This window comes from Homo sapiens, chromosome X (genome assembly GCF_000001405.40).
Source record: "Homo sapiens chromosome X, GRCh38.p14 Primary Assembly".
Taxonomy (NCBI): domain Eukaryota; kingdom Metazoa; phylum Chordata; class Mammalia; order Primates; family Hominidae; genus Homo; species Homo sapiens.
In genome coordinates this window covers 155,100,817-155,127,132 of record NC_000023.11, presented here as the reverse complement: position 1 = coordinate 155,127,132, position 26,316 = coordinate 155,100,817, and the positions used below count along the sequence as shown (strand labels likewise).

The window sequence follows — 26,316 nt, the reverse complement described above, 5'->3', positions numbered from 1 at the left end:
GAGGTTTAAATGGCTCACAGTTCTGCAGGCTGTACAGAAAACATGGCATCAGCATCTGCATCTGATGAAGGCCTCAGGAGGCTTACAATCATGGTGGAAGGCAAAGGGGGAACTGGTGCCTGCTGCCTGGGAAGCACAGATCTGATGAGTGTGTGGATTCCAGTGATGTTCATCCTCAGGCTCCTGGGTCTTGTGCCATCTGCTGCTGTAATGTTTGTCTCACAGAGGCTGAAACATGATCATCCAGTCATCTTGCTGAAAACTTCCTAAGTCTAGTAAGAGATTTAGACATCCAGATACAGGAAACTCAGAGATCCCCAAATATATACAATTCAAACTGTATAAGGAGTTGGGTCTTTTTTTCTTTTTAAACAAAAGCAGACATTACAATAACCAATAGCTGTTGCAGACCAGGAGCTCATTTTATCTCCTTCGCAGGGAGCTTAGGGAGCACAGGTCAGAGCGGAAGAGGCCAGCCTGCAAGGTCAGCTGGAGCTGCAGGAAAGTTTCTTCTTTTGTGTGTCTTTTAAAAAAATAAACAGCTTTATGGAGACATAATTTATACACAATTCACCCATTTAAAGTGAACAATTTAATGACTTTTAGTATAGTCATAGAGCTGTACAACCATCACTGCAGTCAACTTAGAATATTTTCATCACCTCAAAAAGAAACCTCATCCCTCTTAGCCATCAACCCTCTATCCCTGCTCCCTCCTACCCCTCATTCCTTTTTATGGCCAAATAATATTCCATTGAAGAACAGACTGCATTTTGTTTACCCATTCATTGGTTGATAGACATTTGGGTTGTCTAGTTTTTGTTTAAATTTCTGTCTTCAGTTCTGTGGGATATACACCTAGAAATGCCCTTGCTAGGTCTTATGGTAATTCTGTGTTTAAGTTTTGGAGGAGCCATCAGCCAGTTTTCCAAATTGTCTACACCATTTTATATTCCTACCTGTAGTGTACAAGAGTTCCAATTTCTCCACAGCCTCACCAACACTTGTTATTCTCTTACATTTTTATTCTGGTTAGTATAAAGTCATATCTCATGATTTTTATTTCTCTGGTGACTAGTAACGTCAAGCATCTTTTCATGTGCTTCTTCGCAATTTGTAGGTCTTCTTTGGAAAATTTCTATTTAGGTCCTTTGCCCATTTTTGAATTGTGCTGTTTGGTTTTTGTTGTTTTCAGTGTTCTTTATATATTTTGCATACTAGACTCTTATACATAGGATTTGCAAATATTTTCTGCCATTGTCCTGAGTTTTCACTTTTTGATCATGTCTTTGGATGCACAAAATTTTCTAACTTCCATAAATTCCAATTTATCTATTTTTTATTTGTTGCTTGTACTTTGGTGTCATATCTAAGAATCCATTGTAAAAACCAAGATCGTAAAGATTTACTACTGTTTTCTTATAAAGTTTTTATTGTTTAAGCTCTTGAATTTAAGTCTTCAATACGTTTGGAGTTAATATTCATTTATCGTGTGGGATCTCAGTCCAACTTCATTATTTTGCACGTGGATATCCACTTGTCCATTCGCCAGTTGTTGAAGACTATTCTCTCCCATAGTCTTGGCACCCTTGTTGAAAATCAGTTGACTGTAGATGTGTGGGCTTATTTCTGGACTGTCAATTCAATTCCATTTTTAGTGGAGGGTTTGGAAATCAGCATCTTGGTGCTAGCTGTGCTCATAACCACTGGGTGTCACTTCTAGTCCCTCTTGGTGGACGGAGCTGAGACAGATATGTACATATACACATACCTTTCTCAGCTCTGAGATATATATATATAGGGTTTCTGTGTGTGTGTGTATATATGTGTGTGTGTGTGTATATATGTGTGTGTATGTGTGTGTGTGTGTATATATGTGTGTGTGTGTGTGTGTGTGTGTATATATATATATATATATATTTCCTTTGAACAAGAGTTCATATTAATGAACTCTTTTCCAATTTTAATCCAATACCATGAGATTCATTTTACCCTTCCTCCTTTCCATGATTTTGTTTTGTTTTTTTTTTTGAGACAGAGTCTTGCTCTGCCGTCCAGGCTGGAGTGCAGTGGCGCAATCTTCGCTCACTGCAAGCTCTGCCTCCCGGGTTCACACCATTCTCCTGCGTCAGCCTCCCGAGTAGCTGGGACTACAGGCGCCTGCCACCATGCCCAGCTAACCTTTTTTTTTTTTTTTGTATTTTTAGTAGAGATGGGGTTTCAGCGTGTTAGCCAGGATGGTCTCAATCTCCTGACCCGTCTCGGCCTCCCAAAGTGCTGGGATTACAGGCGTGAGCCACTGCGCCTGGCCTTTCCATGTTTTCAAATAATTTCTCTGACATTGAGAAACCTAGCTCCCATTTTCCTCAACAGATTTACTTCTTCACTCAATCAACTTAGTTATTTGCTTAATGTAGCACACTGCTGGCTGCCTCCTCGCCCTGAGGGCACTGGCACAACATGGCTTCCACTGGATCTCTCCCCCTGCCCCTCCACCCAACCATGGAGCCACAAAGCTGGAAACTCTGACACCTCCATGCAGTAATCCCAGCCTGCTTCCTCAGCCATCAGGCACTTTGACACCTCCATGTACCTGCCCCTCCCCCAACATGTTTATCCTACAAATTACTCAGATTACTAGGCTAGAAAAAGAATTTCAAATCGCTGTAACTTTATCAATATAAATAGTTTAGAAGGTGATGGAGAGAGATGTTAAGAATGTCTATTTGGTTTCTGGTTTGTGCAAATGGATGTTACATTCACTATTCACTGAGGTAAGAAATGTTGGAAGGGAATATAGTTTAGATTGAAAACCATGATTTCAGATTTAGATATATTAATTTTTATGTGCCATTAAGACAGCCAAGTGGAGGCCAGGCACGGTGGCTCGTGCCTGTAATCCTAGCACTTTGGGAGGCCGAGGCAGGTGGATTGCTTGAGCCCAGTAGTTTGCCACCAGCCTGGGCAACATGGTGGAACCCTGCCTCTTCAAAAAAAATACAAAAAAATGAGCCAGGCATGGTGGTGCGTGCCTGTAGTCCCAGCTACTTGGGAGGCTGAGGTCAGGAGGTCGAGGCTTCAGTGAGCCATGATCATGCCACTGCGCCCCAGCCTGGGCAACAGAGTGAGACCCTGTCTCAAAAAAAATGTCCAGTAGAGAGGTGGAAATGTAGGTCTGGAGTTCAGATAGAGGCGTGGACAGATACAGATTTGTGTGTCAACTGCATATAGGTATGCAAAGATAGAGAAGTCTATGAATGAATTTGAGAAGGAACAGCTAGAGAAGAAAAGGATAGCAGGAAGGATAGCCAGAGAAGAAAATAAGAGAAACCAAGGAAGTAGATTTCAAGGAGGAGTGACCAACTGTGTCAATACTGAGAGGTTCATCAAGGATGGGAAAAGCAACTATTGACTTTCACTGTATGGAGCTCATTGGTGACTTTGGCAGGAGTAGTTTCAATGAAGTGCTGTGGACAGAGGTCACAAGGCAATGAGTTGAAATTATAGGAGATAAGAAAACAGAGAGAACAAGTATATACAGTTACCATGAGAGTCTTGGATGTGATTGAGAATAGAGAATCTAGTGTTCATAAGGGGATACAGGGTTGTGTAAAGGTAAGCCAGATTGGTGCAGCTGGGAAAATAATGATACATCCTGTTCACACCACTGTTTCTTGTGATGCTCAACACTTTTAAAGACTGGACACTGAGCTAAAAGAAACCTTGGTGGTCAACTACTCTAATCTCATTCTATACCTAAAGAAAATGAAACCCAGAAAGGGAAAAGGACTTGTGCTAAAGGTTGGCATGTAAAAATATTCCAATCGTTTTATTCCCCTCAAATTTTCTAGCACCCTTTTCTTATTTCATAAAATAGGTACCATACGTCCCAGTTCCTTACTTAAAACTTACAACTTTTCATTTTGCAATAATTATATACTTATAGGAAGTTGCAAAAATAGTACAGAGTCCCATGTATCCATTACCCAGTTTCCTCCAGTGGTACGGTTTTGTAACTATAGCACAACTTCACATCCAAGACATTGACAATAATATTATACTGCTATCTAGACCACAGACTTTATTCAGTATCACCAGATTTTACATGCATTCATTTGTGTGTATGTAGGTCCATACAACTTCAGCACAGGTAAAGACTCATGTGCTTAACCTCATAATCAAATGTTATAATCAACATCGTAATCATCATAATCATATAGAACTGTTCCATCAGCACAAAGGAACTCCTTGCGTCATCCCTTTATAGTCATACATACCCCACACCCCCTCCAGTCCCTATCCCTGGCAACCATTAATCTGTTCTTCATTTCAATAATTTTGTCACCTCAAGAATGTTATATAAATGCGATCATACAGTATGTGACCATTTGAGACTGGTTTTTTTTTTGTTCACCATAATACCCCTGAGGTACAACCAAGTTCTTGTATCAACAGTTAGTTCCTTTTCATTCCAGAGCAGTATTCCAAGTTATGGATGGTTTGTTTAACCATGTACCTGTTGTAGGACATCTGGGTTGTTTCCAGTTTGGGGCTATTACAAATAAAGCTCCTATGAATATTTGAGTACAAGTACAATATAGGTTTTCATTTCTCTGGAATGAATGTCCAGGAGCACAACTGCTGGGTCTTATGTTTAACTTGATTAAAAAATTATGTTTAACTTGATAAGAAATTCATAAACTCTTTCCCAGAGTGGCTGTACCATTTTACATTCCTGTCAGCAATGTATAAAATATCCAGTTTGTATCCTCATCAGTATTTGGTATTTTCACTATTTTTTCTTTAGCCATTGAGATAAGTAAGTCATAGCCTCGCTGTGGTTTCAATTTGCATTCCCTGATGACTTATGGAGTTTAACAGCTTTTCATATGCTTACTTGCCATCTATAGATCCTCTTCAGTGAAACATCTATTCATGTCTTTTGCCCATTTTCTAATTGGACTGTTTGTTTTTATTGTTGAGTTTTGTGGCCTTTTTTTTTTTTTGAGATGAGGCCTCACTCTGTTACACAGGTTGGAGTGTGGTGGTGTGATCACAGCTCACCGCAGCCTCAAACTCCTGGGCTCAAGTGATCCTCCTGCCTCCCTAGTAGCTGGGACTACTGGTGTGTGTCATGGTGCCCAGTTAATTTTTTAAAAAAACTTTTTGTAGAGACAAGAGTCTCACTATGTTGCCCAGGCTGGTCTGGAACGCCTAACCTCAAGCACTCCTCCCATCTTGGCCTCCCAAAGTGGTGAGATTACAAGCATGAGCTACCATGCCTGACTTCAGTTGAGTTTTTAGTACACTTTATATATTCCAAATTGATCAGATATATGGTTTGCAAATTCATCTCAATCTGTAGCTTATCTTTTCCTCTTCTTAAATCACAAGTTTTTAAATTTTGAAGAAGTCCAATATATCAGATTTTGTCTTTTATGGATGTGCTTTCGGGGCAAAGTCCAAGAACTTGTCACCTAGCCCAAGATCCTGAAGATTTTTCTCCTGTGGCTTTTTTCAAAGTTATCTAGTTTTATGTATCACATTTAAGTCCGTTATACATTTTGAGTTAAATTTTATATAAGATGTGAGGTTTAAGTAGAGGTTCTTTTTTCTCCTCGCCATGGGTGTCTAATTGCTCTAGCATAATTTGTCAGAAAGGCTATTCTTCCTCCATTGAATTGCTTTTTCACTTTTTCAAAATCAGCTGAGCATATTTATATGGGTTTATTTCTGGGTTCTCTCATCTGTTCCATTGACGTATGTGTCTGTTCCTCTGCCAATACCATCTATCTTGATTACTATAGCTTTATAGTAAGTCTTGAAGTCAGGTAAAATGAGTCCTCCAAGTTTTTCTTCTTTGAAATTGATTTAGCTTAAGTAACTTTACACTGGATATTTTCATCTTTCCTATAGGGAAAGAAAAAGAATAGAGAAGAACAGTGGCTGTGGGAAATTAGGGACAATATAGTATATACATTCCATATGCTCAAGGCTAGTGGTTTTCAAATCAGCTAAGTAGTTCATGCAGATTTTATCCCCAGAGATAGAGTATGACCTTCAAGTGATTCTGATGCAGGTGGTTCTGGACAACACTTTGAAATGTGAAAAATGAGAGGGAGAAACAAAAACCAAAAACAGCCTTTATCACTTAACTTCTAGTATCCAACAAGCATACTTTGTTTCCAGTATGCAACAAGCACACAGAAAAGTATGTCTTTTCTGCAGACACATTTATCATTTGTGCTTTTACATGATAAGAGTAATGCAACCAAACTTTTTAAAGCATGATTTTTATTATATCCTCAATCCTAAATGTTTCTGGAGAAACACATTTTACTATAATGGAAACTCCTAGGCAGATAGGATCTGCTCAATAGGAGTTTACTTCAGAGTCAAATATGCTAGAACTCATGTTGGGCTAAAAAGGGCACCCTCAGAGATTCAACGTTTGATAGGTATCTCAGAACATATATTTTAGAAATCAAGAAGGAAGACACTGCCCTCTCAGTGAGGGCATAGAGGTGGGGTACTTCCTTCCACTCACACTAGATTTATTATTTGCTTGTCCAACATAAGCATCATACCTACAAAATTGAAACATAAAATATTCTAGTGAGTGAATGTATTTGAAAATGAAAATAAAGACTTCCAAGTTAAAAGAAAGGGAAATATAAATGTTTAAAATATACCCCCCAGACATTTTATTCTAAGATATTCCTTGCCATTGTACCACTCATAGCCTTTTTAAAAATAACTTTCATATTCTACTTAAATCATCTTGCATAAGCTCCTTATTGGTCAGTTATAGGTAGGAGGGTTCAGTGAACTCTAATTAAACTGTCAGGAAGACATCCTGTGCTGATTGCATGTGAAAAATAACTACTCTATTGTCTGCCTGCATGTGAGCTGTGTGCATTTTCAGACTGTGTTTAGTACACAAATTGAAAAAGAAGTTTTTTACCCCATTTTGTCTCCTGATTTATTCTAGAGAAGAAAGTTCTTGCATAAGCTCTTCCTTTTCTTGTTGTAATTCCTGCAAATGCTGTTGGTTTTGCTCCAGTCTGTCCTCCAACCACTGTAGGAGAGGCCCGCTGACTGCCGACATCTGACTGCACAGATTCTTGGTAAACACTTCAATAGGAAAAATAAAGATGAGAATAATTGTGGAAAAGCACCATCCACTAGCATGTTTCCACTCTATCACCAACAGACCCCCAACCATGAGCACAGAAAGAAGGGGTTGGAGAAGGAAGTAGAAAAAGTGTAATAAGTAGGACTGGTAAACTATTTTCTGTGCCCAGCCAGGGGAAAAACAGAAGAGCTGAGCATAGAAAATACCCATTCTGAGGCCATCTTGAATCCATAAGCCAGAGGGAAGCCTGGCAGAAAGAGGGCCAGCTCTTTACTCCCTTAGGCAAAAGGGCTAAGAGCCACGAAAGGGTTCCTTTCCCCAGCCTCTCAGACCTTCCCTTGCTGTAAACCACCATAACCTCCTAATGGGCCAGAAGTCTGCCTTCTGCAACTTACGTTTCCAGAGCGCCCTGTAGGTATATAAACTGTTATGTATATTGCAGAAATATACATTAATTGAATACACCTGAGAGCTCCTCTTTTGAAATGAAGAACAGAGGGATGAAGAGTAAGGGAGTTACCATCTTTTATGCTTTACTGTGACTGTTCAGCTTCATGGTGAGACAAAGATTCTAAGGTACTCTTTTAAAACAAATTCCATCTAATGTAAGTATCTTTTTCTCTCTCATAATATGTGACTGTTACTTAAATGACCACTGTCCAGTTTTTTGCTATTTTAAAGACTTTAAAATCTAAGTACATGTACACTTTAAAACTAATTATCCAGTATTTTCCAGATTGTACCAAATTATATCTCCAGAAACAGTGAGACTGTTCACTTCCCTCACATCCTCACCTAATTGTCTCTCAATTTAATCTTTGAAAAGGTGAAAAGCTGATAATCTTATCTTAATCTATACTTCTTTTAAAGATAATAATTAACATTTTTATTTTTGTAGGGGGCCATAAAAGTCTTTAATTTTTATTTAGTCAATCTTTCCTTTTGTGAATTCAGGGTTTCACATTATTCTTAGGCTATCACCTTCCTAGAGTCTGAAAAAAATTCTTATATTTTTCCTCCTGTATTTCTTTAACTTATAAAATGAGCTTTTGGGGGTGTAATTTACAGACAGTAAAATGAACCAATTTAAAGTATACAGTTCTATGAGTTTTGACAAATGTATACCCCATGTTATAATTTGGATATTTGGCCCTCCAAACCTCATGTTAAAATGTGACCCCCAATGTTGGAGGTAGGGCCTCATGTGAGGTGTTTGGGTCATGGGGTGAGTTCTTCCTCTGTTAGTTCCCACAAGAACTGGCTGTTAAAAAGAGCCTGGTCCCTCCACCATTCTCGTTTCCTCTGTTGCCACATGATGTCTGCATACACAAGCTCCCCTTTGCCTTCTGTCACAAGTGGAAGCAGCCTGAAGCCCTCACCAAATGCAGGTGCCAGCACCATGCTTCTTGTTCAGTCTGCAAAACTGTAAAGCCAAGTAAGCCTCTTTTCTTTATAAATTACCCAGCCTCAGGTATTCCTTCATAACAACACAAAATGAACTAAGACATCCTATGTAACCAGTGCTAGTCAAGATACATACCATTTCCACCACCCTCAAACAATACCCTCCGCAGTTCCCTTTGCATCAAATGCCCCTTCACCCCTGGGCCCAGGCAGCTACCACACCATAGATTAGTTTTGCTTATTCTTGAATTTGGAACCATGGAGTATGTAGCCTTTTGTGTGATGCTTCCTTCACCTGGCATAATGTTCTTGAGACGCGTCCTTTTTGTTCATGTTTCAGTAGTTTGTTCTTTTTATTGTTGAGTTGTACTCCATTATATGGATATATCAGAGTTTATCCATTCACCCACTGATACACATTTGTGTTGTTTCTACCTTTTGGCTATTGTGAATAATGCTGCTGTAAACATTTGTGTACAAGTTTTTGTTTGAGCAGCTGTTTTCAATTCTTTGACGTATATACCTAGGAAAGGAACTGGTATGACATTTGGCAAGTATAATTGCCAACCTCTTTTCTAAAGTGGTTGTACCACAATAGTAAAAGTTTAAATATATCTGGAATTTATTTTTTGTGTAGGGTATTAGGTAGGAATCTATTTTCCCCCAAATGGAAATAAAAGAATGTTAACTCCATGAAGGTTAAAACTGTCTCTTTTGTTCAGCACTGTACCTTAGTGCCTGGAATAGCACTCAAATGTTTCCTGAATGAACAAAGAAAGAAATGAACTGTCCCAATCCTATTTAGTAAATAATTCATGCTTTTTTCATTTATTTAAAGTAATATCTTTGCTAAATATAAATTCTTATATATACATAGGCCTATCTCTGGACTCTGTTCAGTTCCACTGATCTATTTGTTTATTTTGAGCTATTATTTATACTTTTTAAATTACTGTGGCTTTAGAATATGGTTATATATCATATATTACCAACTTTTAACTCTGTCATGTTTTATCCTGAGACCGAAATTATGGGACAGATAGACCAAGCCATTTCTCCCTTTTCTTTGAAAAGTAACCGCCTATAACACTCAAAAGCCTCCCCTTCTTCCTCACTGGTGACTTTGGAAGTAACTGGGGAAGAGTGCACAGAATGACCCAGAAGTCAGGGTTACTCAGACAGAAAGTGTGGCTGGGGCAATGTGTATGTTAGGGACAAGTGAATTAGTATATATATTGTATTCAGCTTTTTGTTCCTTTGCCTTGTACAAAAATTACTTTTATATTTATTGACATCAAAAGATTTTCTCCCTCATGCCTTCCCTTTTATCTCTCTATCTGTGTATCCATCCATCTCTTTCAGTTCCCACCACGACAGGCTGGTAGTGTTATGCTGGAACCAATTCATGCCAGCTCACAAAAGCCAACTATTAAAATTCCAAGAAGTTTATAAGCTAGTTGATGACATGTTAGTTGCTTGAAACCAGCCATGCCAGGGGCATTACACCATGGAAACCGTCAAACACGACAAATCAGGGTCCTCCCTGCTCCTTGAGATCTGGTTGTTAAATGTGTGCCAGTATATCACTGAGTAGGTCTATCATAAAGCTCTTTCCTGTCTTTCCTCCTGTCTTACTCTAGGCTGTATTTATAGTATTCATGGATCCCCAGAGTTTACAAGAAATGTTGGGCTCAGGATCAGGAAAACCCTTGGGAAAGGAAGCCTGAAGACAACTTGTACCCATCACTTCACTCACTTAAACTAAATTTGCATCTGTCAGCTGAGTGTTTCAGGGAAATAGTCAGAAAAAATGCTGAGTACTCAAGAAACAATTCTTACCTGAGCCATTATGGATCTTGGTTACTGAGTCCAGATGTGTAAGGCTAAAGAATAAAATAGTTTAGGTTAGTGGCAAAGCAGCACTGAAGGGAAAGCAAAATGGTCATGGACTATACCGTTGCCAACTGTATTAGATGAATATGTAGTATTTAAATCCCCAATATCAACTTCTTGATGATTTGGGGGATGTGATTTTATTCAAAGATAATTCAAAGTGATAATTTTGAAATTGCTGTCTCTCACCAAAGCTCTGACTTAGTACAAATTTATTGGGCAAGACCTAGTGCTTGGCAACAGGATTAAGATGTTGTGGATTATCCTCTTTTCTCAACCAAAAAAGAAAGCATCCTTGCCCTTGAAAGATCCAAAGTAGCAGGAGAAAAACAAATGTTGAAGAAATTATCATACAACGTGAGAAACATTATGATTGGAGACTGCTAGAAAGCTTCCCAGAGAGGCAAAAAGAAGGGGCCTCAAGAGTTGAGCTGCTAAAGAGAAAAGGACAGAAGAAGAAAAGAGAGACTAGGTCCTGAGAAGTAGAGAAGAGGAGTGAAGAGGGTCTCTACCTGTGGATCCTCCTATACGCATCCTGCTCCTCCTGGCACAGGATCTTGGGCAGCTCTACTGCTGATTCAAGGCACACTTTCCCGATAGTGACATGAGGTACAATATGGATTGGGATTTCGATTCTCTCATACCTGTGAGGCAATCAGTTCAGGTCAGTTTTTAAACCCTGAGTTGTTATAATCAGAAGTTCTCTACAGTTTTAATTGGAAGTTTGGGATATGGCATACTTTAAAGATTAAGCATTGCTGTAATTCATTTAGTGATGCAACTTCAAAGTGGATAGAGTTCAAACTGGGTTCGTCTGGAGAGCAAACTAAAAGCCCGTCTGCAGAGCCAGTATTCCCTAGTTCCATAGAGAATCTAAGACCACTTCTGTAAATTTAAGAGAAGCCTTGAGAGCTCAAGGTCCTTACGTCTGCTCCCCAGTCAGGGGAAATAGCTAATTAATACTGTCTTCAGTCAAGAAGTTGCCAGTGAGGTTGAACAAATTAATCACAAAAGTCTGGAGAAGAGGAACTACAGACTCTTCAATGACTCCATCACATTCATTATGTAGGTGGGATTACTCACTTGTTCTAACTCAGTGTTTACCAGTGGCCCTCACTTCCCATTTTCTCCCCTGGGGGGAAATAGGTAAGAAATTCACAAATATTCACATGCTCATGCTAGAGTGGGAGAAACAGAAATGTTTGTTACTAAGGCCCAACCAATCTACCTCTACCCACTTCTCACCCCAAATACACCTAAACTCTACCTACCAGCAGGTTCAGTGGAGAATTCAGGTTGAAGGCCCCTGGCACTGTGAGGCCCCACTGGCACATGGTGGTAAGGCAGCTTAAGATCTAGCTTCCCCATCCCAGCAGAACATGTCTAGTCCCCATACCACAACCTAGATGGAACACAAATGGTGGGGCATTACAAGCCCTCCCCTCCCCACACCCAAGTAGTCAGGGTGTGCTTCCATCTAAAATCATATATTTTCAGTCTGAAGAACTTTTAATATTTCTTGTAGTGAATTCTCCAGATTAATTCTGCCTGCTTTTTTCCATAAAAATGTCTGGTTTGTCTTAATATAAAATTCTGGGGTTGATAGCTTTTTTCTTCATGCACATTAAAGATGTCACCCCATCATCTTCCAGCCTCCCAGGGTTCTGATGAGAAGTCAGCCATCGTTCTTATCATTGTATTTCTCCACTATTTGTAATATATCTTTTATTCCTTTAGCTGCTATAATGTGCCTATTTTAGTTTGCTTATGTTCATATTGCTTGTGATTGGCTGAGATTCATGCATCTATGGGTATGAATCAGTTTTTAGAGAATTCTTAGCCATTATCTCTTTAGGCATTCTTTGTCTACTTCTGGTGCTCCAATTACATGTAAATTAAAATGGTTCACACTGCCTCACAGTTCTGTCACATGCCATTCTTCTATTTCATTCTCTTTTTTTTTTTAACTCTTTGCTTCATTTAGGGTATATTTTATCAACCTGTCTTTGTCACTGATCCCTTCTGCTATACCTGAGTCTCCTGCTAGTCCCTCTGGTGATTTCTTAATTTTAGGTATTTTCCACTTTTACAATGTCCATTTGGGTTTTTTTTTTTAATTGTGGTTAAAAAAATAAAATTTACTATCAACCATTTTAAGTGTACAGTTCAGTAATGTAAGTATATTAACATTGTTATGAAACAGATCTTCAAAACATTCTCACCTTGCAGAACTGAAACTCCCCTTTCTCCCTTCTCCCGGCCCCTGGTGACCACCATTCTACTTTGTATATCTATGATCATTAGATACCTTATATAAATAGAAAAATGCTGCATCTGTCCTTTTGTGAATAGCTTATTTCACTTAGCATAATATTCTCAGGGTTCTTTCATGCTGTAGGTTGTAACAGGTTTTCCTTTATTTTTAAGGTTGTATAGTATTCCATTATATGTTACGTTGCATTTTGTTGGTCCATTTATCCATCAATGGACATGTGGGATGCTTTTACTTCTAGACTATTGTGAATAATGCTGTGAACATAGGTATGTAAATACCTATTTGAGATCTTGCTTTTAATTCTTTTGGATATACACCCAAGAAGTGAGACTGGTAGATCATATAGTAGATCTATTTTTAGGTTTTTAAAGAAACTACAGGCTTATTGCACCACTCTACAATCTCAACAATAATGTACAAGGGCTCCAACTCCTCCATATTCCCACCAACACTTGTTATTTTCTGATTTTGTTAGATAGTAGCTGTCATAATGGGTGTGAGGTGGTATCTCATTGTGGTTTTGATTTGCATTTCTCTGACAATTAGTGATATTGAACACTCTTTCATATGCTTGTTGACCAAGAGAAATATCACTTTAAGTCCTTTGCCCATTTTAAAATCAGATTTTTTTGTTGTTGAGTGTAGGAGTTCTTTATATATTCTGGATATTGACCCCTTATTAAATATATGATTTGCAAATATTTTCTCCCATTCCATAGGTTGCCTTTTCACTCAGTTCATTGCTTCCTTTCGTGCACATAAGTTTTAAAGCTGGATGTAGTCTCATTTGTCTATTTTGCTTTTGTTAGCTGTGCTTTTGGTGTCATATTCAAGAAATTATTGTCAAATCCAATGTCATGAAGCTTTTTCCCTATGTTTTCTGCTAGTTTTGTAGTTCGGGGTCTTATATTTTGGTCTTTAATTCATTTAAGTTTTATATACGGTGTAAGATAAGGGTCCAGCTTCTTTCTTTTGCATGTGAATATTCAGTTTTCCCAGTATCATTTATTAAAGAGACTGTCTTTTTCCCATTTAGTGGTGTTGGTATCCTTGTTGAAGTTTGCTTGACCATATGCAAGGGTTTAAATCTGGGCTGACCATTCTGTTTCATTGATACCACACTGTTTTGATGACTGTAGCTTTGTAGTTACTTTTGAAACCAGGCAGTGTGAATTGCCCAAATTGGTTCTTTTTCGAACTTGTTTTGGCTATTCAAGGTCCCCCGAGATTCCGTATCAACTTAAAATGGCCAGCCTGGGTGACAGAGTGAGACTCCATCAAAAAAAAAAAAAAAAAAAAAAAAAAAGCAAGCAAGCCATTGGGATGTTTACAGTGATTGCATTAAATCTACAGATCACTTTGAGTAGTATGATATCTTAACAATATTAATTTATCCAATCCATGAACATGAGATGTCTTTCCATTTATTTGTGTCTGTAACTTCTTCCAGCAACATTTTGTAGTTTTGAATATATAAGTCTTTCACCTCCTTGGTTAAGTTTATGCCTAATTATTTTATTCTTTTTGATATTATTGTAAATGAGATTTTCTAAATTTCCTTTTCTGATTATTCATTGTTAGTATACGGAAATAAAATAGATTTTGGTTTGTTGATTTTTGTATCCTGCAACTTTCTTTTTGCTTATTAGTTCTAACAGTTTTGTGAGGTTTCCACATATATTTCATGTGTGAACAGAGAGATAAACTTACATCTTCCTTTCCAATGTGGATGCCTTTTATTTCTTGTTCTTGCTTAATTGTTTTGGCTAGGAATTCCAGTCCTGTGTTGAATGCTTATTTTTAAATTGAAGTGTATGTCCTTTTATTTTTGAGTTGTAAGAATTCTTTACCTATTCTGGATGCTATACCATTATCAAATATGTAGTCCTCTCTTATCCTTGGTTTTACTTTCCATGGTTTCAGTTACCTGTGGTCAACCACGGTCCAAAAATGTTAGATGAAAAATTCTAGAAATAAACAATTCATAAGCTTTAAGTTGCAGACCTTTCTGAGTAGCATGATGAAATCTTACGCCATCCTGCTCTAACCTGCCCAGGATATGAATCAACCCTTTGTCCATCTGATCCATACTGTATATGATACCTGCCCATTAGTCACTTGGTAACCATCAGATTGACTGTCACGGTATTGCAGTTCTAATGTTCAAATAACCCTTATTTTACTTAATAATGGCCCCAGAACATAGGAGCAGCAATGTTGGCAGTTCTGCTATGCCAAAGAGAAGCCCTAAAGTGCTTCATTTAAGTGAAATGATGAAAAGTATCCAACTTAATTTTAAAAAACGAGAACATATCATATGCTAATGCTGCTAAGGCCTATAGTAAGAACAAATCTTCTATCTTTGAAATTGTGAACAATATATTGTTATAATTGTTCTATTTTACTATTGTTGTTGTTAATCTCATACTGTGCCTAATTTATAAACTAAACTTTATCACAGGTGTGCGTGTATAAGAAAACATGGTGTAATAGGGGTCAGTACTATCTGTGGTTTCAGGCCTCCACTGGGGTTCTTGGAACATATTCCCCAAAGATAAGGGGAGACTGCTTTTTGTAATTTGCCACTATTTTTTCTGATTCTGTAGGTTATTTTCACCTTCTTGATAATGTGCTGTGATGCACAAAAGTTTTTAATTTTTATCAAATCCAATTTATCTGTTTTTCCTTTCTCCCTTGTGCATTTGATGTCATATTTAAGAAATTAGTGCCAAATTGAAGGTCATGAAGATGTACCCCTATGTTTTCTTCTAAAGTTGTATTGTTTTAGCTCTTCTATTTAGATCTTTGATCCATTTTAATTTTTGTATATTGGGTGAAGATAGTGGTCCAGCATTATTCTTTTTGCATGTGGATATCCAGCTGTCCCAGCACCATTTGTTGAATTGCCTCTTATTTCCCTGTTGAATTATCATGGCACAGTTGTTGAAGATCAATTGACCAGAAATGTACAGGTTGACTTATGGACTCACAATTCTATTCCACTGATTTATATGTCTATCCTTTGCTACCTTTTGTGGTTTTTCTACAGTTCTCTGAAACTCTGTCCCTTTTTTCCCAGTCTTTTCTGTCTGTTATCCAGCTTGGATAATTCTATTAATCTATCTTCAAGTTTACTGACTCTTTCCTCTGGCATTTCCACTGCATTCTCACTTTTAATCTAGAGTTTAAAATTTTTGGTTGTTATATTTTTCAGTTGTAAAATTTACATTTGCTTCTTTTTATCTTCTATTTCTTATATGATACTTTTTCTTTTTAAATATTTGTTGCAACATTTTTGTGACTGATAGCTTGAGCATTTTCATAATGGCAGCTTTTAAAGTCTTGTCAGATATTTCCAACATAAGTGTCATCTTGCCTTTTGTATCTGTTGATTATCTTCTCCCATACAAGATGAGATTTCTGTGGTTCTTAATATGTTAAATAACTTTGGTTTATGTCCTGGTTATTTTGGATATTAAGTTATGAGACTTTGGATCTTGTTTATATCCCCACTTCTGTGGTATTTTGAGTTTTGGGGCCCTTCTCCAATCTGCCTGTTATTTACATTCCAGAGTTCACAAATAGCTAGGCTTGGCATTCTTTCCAGAGTATATAGTTGAGTTCAGTGAGATATAGGGGCAGCATGTGTTGATTTCATCTTATGAAATATTTCTAAATAACACCTACATCAAAGTAAATCACAAGGGTAATAATATCACAAGGGAAATACTTTGAACTGAAGGATAGTAAATAAAAATTATGGATGTACCCAAAGCAGTGCTTAAAGGGACATTTATGGCTCTTTTGAAAAGACTGATATCATTAATAAACCCCCACCAAGACTGATCAAGGTAAAAACAGAGAACACAAAAATTACTAATGTAAGGAATGAAAAAAGAGAAATCACTTCGGATCCTACAAACTTTAAAAGAATAATAAGAAGATATTGTGAACAATGTAAACTAAAGTTCTAGGATAAATTCCTAGAAAAGCACAACTTGCCAAAACTAAAACGATACAGAAAATCAGAATAATCCTACATATTTTAAAGAAACTGAACCTATAATTTAAAACTTTACACAAAGAAAACTCCACACTGACATTGCTAATCTGTTACATTCTATCAAACATTTAAAGAAAAAACCCAAACTTACACAAACCATTTCAGAAAATCGAGATATGGGAACATTTTCTACTTTGTACTATGCAGCCAGCAAAACCATGATATCAAAATCTAGCAAAGGTGTTTAAAGAAAAGAAAATTATGGATCAATCTTATTTATGAAAAAGATATATAATTCCTAAAAAGATTAGCCTAGTGAATACACTAAAGAGATAATATACAGTGACTAAGGAATGCAAAGCTGGGTTAAGATTCAGAAATCAGTTCATGCGACTTACCACATTAAGGCAAATAATCATATGATTATCTTAATAAATGCAGAAGGAGCATTTGATAAAATTCAACATTCAATCATAAAAAAGAGGCTTAGAATACTAGAAATACAAGGGAACTTCCTTAATATGATAGAGGCTAACTACAGAAAAGCTAAATTAAACACCAGAGATAATTGGGAAATTTTAAAGCATTCTCTTTTACATTTTATTCATAAATTTTACTGGAAGACTGAGACAGTATAATAAGGCATGAAAGAGAAATAAAAAGGTGTAAAGATTGGAAAGGGTGAAATTAAATTGCCCTTGTTTATGGAAGACATGACTGTTTACATAGAAAATCCCAAGGAAATAAAATCTGCAGATAAATCATTAGGATTAATAAGTACATTTATATCCATAAGGCTGCTGGATATAAAGCCAATATACATATATCAATTTGCTATCTAAATAACCGGTACCAACTGGAAAATTATGAAAAGATACCAATTACAATAACATAAAACACCAAATTCCCAAGAATAATTTAAATGAAAGATGTGTGCAATCTTTTCAGATGTTTCACAGAAAAATACAAAAGATAGAGAAATTAAAATCTAAATAAATGGAGGGATACATCAAATTGATGAATGGATTCAATTCTATCCCAGTCAAATTTCAGCTGACATGTTTCAGCAAGTTTTCTTGTGGAAATCAACAAACCGATTTTAAAATTTATATGGGGCTACAAAGGGCGAAGAATAGCCAAGACAGTCTTGAAGAATAACAACAAAGGGGAGAACTAATGTTACCGCATATCATCAAGACTTATTATAAAGCTACAGCAACTAAGTGTGTTACTGACACAAGGATAGACACATAGACAAAACAGAATTCGCCTAGAGTCCAGAAACATAATCATATATATAGGGACGACTGATTTAAGGCAAAGTGGCAAGGCAGCAATAAATGGTGCCAGGTCAATTGGATACACACGTGGGAAAAAGGGAATGTCAACTCACATCCCACATCATATCCTAAAGTTAACACTAAGTAGATTGTAGATTTAAGCACGAATGGTGAAATAATAAAGCATCTCTTCCAGATAGGGAAAGATGTCTTAAATAGTGTAGGACACTAAAAAGCACTAGATCGAAAAGATAAAAAGATAATTTGGACTATTATATTAAATAAACAACTTAGGCTCATCAAATGATACCATTAAGATAGTGAAAACCAGGTCAGGGTGAGAGAGTAGATACTTGGAATAGGTATAGCTGACAGCTTGTATCCAGAACATACTGGAATTCTTTTGAAGTACTAAGAAAGTTAAAGAAAAATGAATATGACTTATACATGAGGGGATATCCAAAAAGCCTATAAACATTTGAAAAGGTGTTCAACCTAATTAGTCACTGGGGAAATCCAAATTAAAACCACAATAAGATACTACTGCACACTCACCAGAACTGCAAAAAATGAAAAAGTCAGAAAATACTAATTGTCAGTGAAGCTGTTAAGCTGTGAAAACCTTCATACACTGTTGGCAAGGATGTGAATTTGGAAACTATTCTACTAAAGTGATAACCCAGCAATTCCACTTCTGTGTACATACTGAAAAGATATGCATTCACATGGGCAAAAAGAGGCTTATGTAAGGATTATTTTCATAGCAGCTTTATTCATAAGAGCCCCAAATTGGAAACAACCCAAATGCCTAACAATAGAACATATAAGTAAATTGTGGTAATTTCCAACAATGAAATATTACACAGCAATAAAAAAGAACTACCATAACAGAGTGAAAGAAGCCATACACAAAGTTGTACTTACCGTATTTTCCCATTTATATAAAATTCAAAAACAGACAAAATTAATCTGTGTTGTTAGAGATTAGGATAATGGTTACCTTTGGGAAAAAAACAAGGGCATAACAATTGAGAGGAGTCACAAAGGAGGCTTCTGGAGGGCTGGTAAGGTTCTATTTCTTGATATGTAGTACAGTTTCACAGGCGTTCACCTTGTAAAAATTCATGGAGCTGATCTGGGTTGTGGTTGCATAGGTGTTTTCATTTTGTGAAAATTGATTGAGCTGGACACTTGTAATTTGTGTACTTTTCTGTATGTTACACTTCAATTGAAAAGCTAAGACCAACCAACCAAACTAAGTTTATGACAAAGAAGCTCTAGAGTATGCTAGAGCTCACAGGTCAGAATGTATGCATTAAAATAGTAGTTTTGAAATCTACAGCTGAAGGGACACTAAACAAATATTTACTGAACACCATGGGAACAGTAATAAAAAAGCATACCTTCTTTCAAGGATCTTACAATGTTAGTGGAAAAACAAAATATTAAAATATAATGTTATAAGTATTACAAAAAGGAAGTATATGATTTTATTAAGTTTCCAGGAGGAATGCTTAACTGGGATGGTATTGGGGGTTGAGAATTATCAGAGAAGGATTCCTAAATTTGATCTTCATCTTCAAAAATGACTAGACATTGGCCAGGTGGTATAAGGAAAAAGGAAACTGTAGGCAGAGTGAGCATATGACAGAGAGAGAACATGGCTGGAGAAATAAGCAAACCATGAAGGGCTGCAGGTTTGGGGCTTTATTCTGAGGGCATTAGGGAGCAGGATCATTTTAGAATAGCTACACCATGATACCAAATTGAAAGGAAGTAAAATGGGTGAGTGCTAAAATTAAAGAACTTTTAAAAAAAAAAATAAATAAAAATACTACTTAGCATCTATGGGATATATTTAAAGCAAAGATCAGTGGAAAATTCACAGCCTTAAGCATTTATATCAATAATAATGAAAGACAAAAAATATACTCATTAAATTCCAAACTCCAAATGCTAAGATAAGCACAACAAAATGACCAAAATGAAACATAAGGAAGGAAATAATAAACATAAAAGAAAAAGTAGTAAGGTTGGGAATAGAAAAAAAATAACTAAATAAAAATCAGTGTTTCAAGGAAAAATAACAAAATTGACACACCACTGGCTAACATAACCAAGGGAAAAAAGAAATAGCACAAATATACAAAATATGAAATGACAAGGGGGAGATAACTATTGAAATACAAGAGATTTAAAATATGACAGACTATCTGGCAGAGAGATCTCTGTGTAAATAAATTTGCAAACCATAAAAAATGAATAATTTCTTAGGAAACTGTACCAAAATTGACCCCATTACAGAAAGAAAGCATAAACAGATAAATTCCCAGAGGAGAAACACAAAAAGGCCTAGTTGATTTCATAGAGGAATTGTCAAAGAACTGATTGTCTCACTGCTACTTACATTTCTGTCACAGCCTAGACAGTGAAAGAAAACTCCAAACAATTCTTCTGAAGCAAGTGTAATATATATACCTAAACCTGATAAAGACAGTACAAAAAAAGAATATTTCTGATAGCACTTATGATTTTTCCTGAATACAGAATCTTTCTTAATGAAGAAATGCTACAGGAATTTCCATAAGGATCAGAAACAAAACAAGATCATCTACTATTTCCACTACTATTTAATGTTCTAAAGAAGATATTAGGCAATGCAGTTATATTTAAGGAATCAATTAGAGGTTTAGGAATTGGGAAATAAGTAAAAGTATTTGCAGATGGAGTGTGATACTTATCTGGAAAGCTCTAGAGAAATAAAGGTATAATTAACTCAAAGAACAAAAGAATTCAGGAAGATAAAAATTTACATACAGAAATAGTAGCCTTCAAATATACAAGCAAAAAACAGAGGATGTAATAGAAAAAAAACATTAACAAAGCAAAAAAGAAGTTAAATGCTTAAGAATAAATTTCAGTATGACATATACAAAACCTATATGAGAAAAACAACACTCCCGAAAGACACAAAAGTAGACTACAGCAAGTGGAAAGACAGCCAGTGCTCTTGGATAGGATGATGCAACATCACAGATTAATTTATAAATTTAACACAATCTCAATAGAAATATCAAAAAGTTTTTATCTGGAGCTAGACAAGTTGATAGTAAGGTTCACATGAAAAACCAAACATGTAAGAATAGTCAGGGTCTTGGATGGGCGTGGTGGCTCAAGCCTGGGCTCACACCTGTAATCCCAGCACTTTGGGAGGTTGGGAGTTCGAGACCAGCTTGGGCAACATGGTGAAACCCTGTCTCCACTAAAAATACAAAAATTAGCCAGGTGTGATGGCACGTGCCTGTAATCCCTGCTACTCAGGAGTCTGAGACAGGAGAACAGCTTGATCCCGGGAGGCAGAGGCTGCTGTGAGCCAAGATCGCACCACTGCACTCCAGCCTGGACAACTGGGCGAGACTCCGTCTCAAAACAAAACAAAACAAAAAGAATAGTCAGGGAAACACTGAGAAAAGAAAAGCTACAATGGAGACTAGCCCTATGGATAATAAAACATACAATAAAGCCACCATAATTTATGTGATGGTAACTAAATGGACAGACAGAATAAAAAGAAAGAGATCCAAGTGAATAGGGAGCTTTCATATATGGTAAAAGGTGGCATGTAAAATTGCTGACATGAAGATAAGCTTTTTTTTAATTATTATTTTCCCTCACTCTGTCGCCCAGGCTGGAGGGCAGTGGCACAATCTCGGCTCACTGCAACCTCCGCCTCCCGGGTTCAAGCAATTCTCCTGCCTCAGCCTCCCGAGTAGCTGGGATTACAGGCATGCGCCACCACACTTGGCTAATTTTTGTATTTTTAGTAGAGATGGGGTTTCACCATGTTGGGCAGGCTGTTCTCGAACTCCTGACCTCAAGTGATCCACGCGCCTCGGCCTCCCAAAGTGCTGGGATTACAGACATGAGCCACTGTGCCCACCTAACACAAACTTTTTAAACAATGGTTTTGTAACAGGTAGATTGCCATTTAGAAAGAGATAAAATTAGATTCATATCTTAGTCTATACAAAATTAACTCTATATAGTTCTGACTTTTGACTTTTTGAACCATGTTGATGTTTCATATACTCTAAAAGGGAAAAAAGTATGAGTTAAAAAAAATCCTAAAATGGAAAACAAGCAAACAAGAAAAAGCTGTCTTTCAAATAAATCATATAACCACACTGAAGTGGTCAGGGGGAAAATAGACTGAACCCAGCTAAGTATTTTGAGTATACACTCTTAGGCATATGTCCAAACTCATCAAAATGTGTACATTAAATATGTGCAATTCTGCATGTTAATTATACCTCAATAAAGCTTAATAAAAAGAACTGTGAATATGAAAAAGGAGAATGCTAGGATGAACCTTAAAGTATGGAAATAGAATTGGAGTTATCAGGTTGAACTCAGAGGTAAACTGGAGAAAGTTTCCCAGCTGAAGCACAAGGAGAACCCCCAGGTAGGGCTTGGCAGATGCCGAGTTGAGAAAATGGAGCTGAGACTCTGGGAAGGCCAAGATAGCTTGTGTTTGCAAAGTAAAGTACCGTAGAGGAAAGAGCTGCATAGGAAGAGAAACAACATGTCCAGACCCTCCAGTGAACTCCAAAGTATGCACAGGGGCAGGAATAGCATCTATTTTCAACAGTCCGAATGGAAAATCTCATAATATTGGAAGCATCAGAGTATTAAAAAGGGTCTTGCCTCAGTAGTGGGGAAAAAATGAACCTTATATTAAACACTGCTTTGTTTCTGCCTAACAAAGCTTAAAAGCAAGATCCAAAGGGATAGGAATGTTTCCTAATAATTTTAACAGTATCTTGAAACAAAACTCAAGAATATTTTTAGGAATACAAATATATCTAGTACCCAATAAGGTAAAATTCACAGTGTCTGCATCCAATCAAAAATTATCAGGCATGAAAAGCAGCAGAAGAGTCCAACCTATAAGGAGAGGAAATGAATTGGAATTGGCCCAGAATGATGCTGATTTAGTGACAAAATTGGAGGACAAAAACATTAAAATGAATATTATAACTATTTTGTATGTTCAAGAAGCTAGAAGATTAAACATGTTAAGTATAGAAAAGAAAAAATTTAAAAGATCCAAATGAGACTTTTAGACTGCACTCCAGCCTAGGTGACAGAGCGTGACCCTGTCTCTAAAAAAATAAATAAATAAAAATTAAAACATACAGTGGACAGGATTAATGGTAAATTTAACATTGCAGAAAGAAAGATGAGTAAACTAGAAGACAGCAATAGAAACTATACAGAACAAATCACAGATAGAAAAAAAAAAGACTGAAAAACAATGAACAGAGCATCAGTGAACTGTGAGGTAACATTAAGTGGCCAAATATATGGTTAGTTGAAACACCTAAAGGAGAGGAGAAAGTGGGACATAAAAAACTAGTGGAAATAATGTCTGAAGTTTTTGTAAATTTGATGAAAAAAAATACATAAATCCACAGATCCAAGCAGCTCAATGAAACCCAAGCACAGGAAACAATTACACCATGATACACTTATACTCAAATGGTTTAAAGCCAGTGATAAAAACAAAATCTTAAAAGAAGCCTTAAAAAAGGACACATTAAGTAGAGTAGACAAAGGTAAAAATGTCAGCCACTTTCTTGTTGAACAGCGGAGAAATATCTTTATAGTTCTGAATGTAAAAAAGGCAACCTAGAGTTCTTTACCCATCGAAAATATCTTTCAAAAAATGAAGGCAAAGACTTTTTTCAGATATATCAAAGTCAAAAGAATATAGCACCGGCAGAGCTACACTACAAGACACATTAAAGGATGTTCTTCAAGAAGAGAGAAAATGATACCAGATGTAAACAAAGAAACTAAGAGCACTAGAAATGACTAACCATATGGTTAAATACAAAGACTTTTCTTATTTAAATTTCTTGAAAAGATAATAAACTGTTTAAATAAAACTTATACATACAAGTAAAATGTATGACCACAATGGCACAAAGGCCAGGAGGCGAGAAATGAAAGTATGATGTTGCAAGATTCTTATACTACGTATGAACTAGTAAAATATCACTCGAAGACAGACTGTGATACGTAAAAGATGTATACTATAAACTAGTGGTTTTCAACCAGGGGTAATTTTTCCCTGCAGAAAACATTTGGCTGTGTCTGGAGATGTTTCTGATTATGACAACACACACACACGCACACACACACACACAAAAACTATGTGACCCAAAATGTCAATAGTGCCAATGTTGACAGACCCTGTGAAAAACCCTAAAGCAACCACTGAAATAACAAAAGACTACAGCTAATTAGTCTATAAAGGAGATAACCATTTGACAAAATACAACATCTGTTTTTGTTGAAAACATTTTCTTATCAATCCAGGAATTGAAGAAACTTCCTCAAACTGATTAAAGGAATCTATGAAAAATCTTCAGGTAACATCATACTTAATGGTGAAAGAGTAAATGATTTCTCCAAAGATTAGGAACAAAGTTACCATGACCGCTCTTACCAGCTGTATTCAACAGCTTATTAGAGGTTCTAACAACGCAATAAGGCAAAAAAATAAATAAATAAACAGAAGGCATCCACATTGGAAAGAAACAAGTGAAACTGCCTTTAATCACAGATGACATAATCGCCTGTAGATAATCCAATGGACCCTTCAAAAAAGCTATTAAAAGTAATTGAATTTAGCAAGGTTGTAGGATATTAACTCAATATACAAAAATGAATTGTACTTTTATATAGTAGCAATGAATAGGAAATTGAAATTAATACAATCACATTTACAATAATATAAATACATGAAATGTATAGGGATAAATATGACAAAAGATATGGAAGACCTGTATATTGAAAACCACAAACCATTACTGAGATAATTAAAGACCTAAATAAATGGAGAGATATACCATGTCCATACTTTGGAAGACTACTGTATGTTCAGCCAGTGTGATCCTAGGTATTTCCCCAAGGAAAGGAAAGGCATATATCCACACCAAGACCTATATACAAATGTTCTAAGCAGCTTTATTTGTAATAGACAAAAACTATAAATAACTCAAATATCCATCAACAGGTGAATGGATAAACATATTGTGGTAATATTTATACAATTTAATATTATTCTGTAATAAAAAGGACAGACTATTGATACATGCTGTGACATGGCTGAATCTCAGAATAATTACGATGTATGAAAAGAGACAGACAAAAAAGTACATACTCTATGATTCCATATACAAAAAAATCTAGAAAATGAAGACCAATCTGTACTAATAGTAGATCAGGGTTTTCTGTGGTTAGAGAAGTGATAGGGCATGATGGAAGAAAAGAATTACAAAGAACCAAGGCTCCTTGGAGAAATAATGAATCCAGGCTGGGTAGAGGAAAGAATGAGACAAACCTGGAACATCTACTTGTGCTAGAAAATCAAAGAAAGATGGGAGTAGGTCAAAATAACACAGGAAAAGCTTCCACTAGCCAATTCTGAAACACTGGGTGCCTCAAAATAACTAATGATAGTAATGGATTAAAACTCATTGAATAAAATAAGGATCCAGGTGTTCACATTAATATAAATAAATAAATGAACAAATAATCAAATTGGCAGAAGAGAAAACTCTTTCTTAGAGAAGAATACCAACTAGTAAATGTTGAAGGAATGATGGAATTAGAACATTGCCATGTGACAAACATCTTAGTAATAAGTAATTTAGGAAATACTAATTGATGAATGCTAAAACTCCCCACAAGATACAGTCATCCCTTCGTAGCTGTTGGGGATTGGTTCCAGGACCTCCCACAGACACTGAAATCCATAGATGTTCAAGTCCCTGATATAAAAGGGTGCAGTATTTGCATATAACCTCATCCTCCTGTATACTTTAAATTCCCTCTAGATGACTTATCATCTCTAGATTATTTATAATACCTCATACAGGCTGGGTGCACTGGTGCATGCCTGTAGTCCCAGTACTTTGGGAGGCTGAGATGGGCAGATCGCTTGAGCCCGGGAGTTTGAGACCAGCCTGGGCAACATGGCGAAACCCCACCTCTATAAAAAATACAAAAAAGAAAATAGCCAAGCCTGGTGGCACATGCCTGTAGTCCCAGCTACTTGGGAGGGTGACGAGGGAGGATCCCTTGAGCCTTGGAGGTCAAGGCTGCTGTGAGCCGTGATCACACCACTGCATTGCAGCCTGGGTGACAAGGCAAGACCCTGTCTCAAAAAAAAAAAAAATTATTATACTGTATTGTGTAAGGAATAATGACTAGAAAAAAGTCTGTACATGTTCACCCTGTATGCAGTTTTTTTCCAAAT

General features: G+C 36.6%; 1 protein-coding gene across 4 annotated transcripts in view; it reads right to left on the bottom strand.

Annotated features, from left to right (window-relative positions):
• The window catches only part of BRCC3 (BRCA1/BRCA2-containing complex subunit 3), a 51,570-nt gene continuing 29,309 nt past the window's right edge, over positions 4,056 to 26,316 (bottom strand). For all 4 annotated transcript variants that reach the window (XM_005274751.5, NM_001242640.2, NM_024332.4 and 1 more), the window contains 4 exons: positions 10,945 to 11,076; positions 10,379 to 10,422; positions 6,965 to 7,134; positions 4,056 to 5,910 (listed from right to left, as the gene is read on the bottom strand). In XM_005274751.5, the coding sequence (XP_005274808.1) occupies positions 6,983 to 7,134; positions 10,379 to 10,422; positions 10,945 to 11,076 (328 nt within the window). In that variant the 3' untranslated portion in view covers positions 4,056 to 5,910; positions 6,965 to 6,982. The remainder of the gene's footprint in view (positions 5,911 to 6,964; positions 7,135 to 10,378; positions 10,423 to 10,944; positions 11,077 to 26,316) is intronic.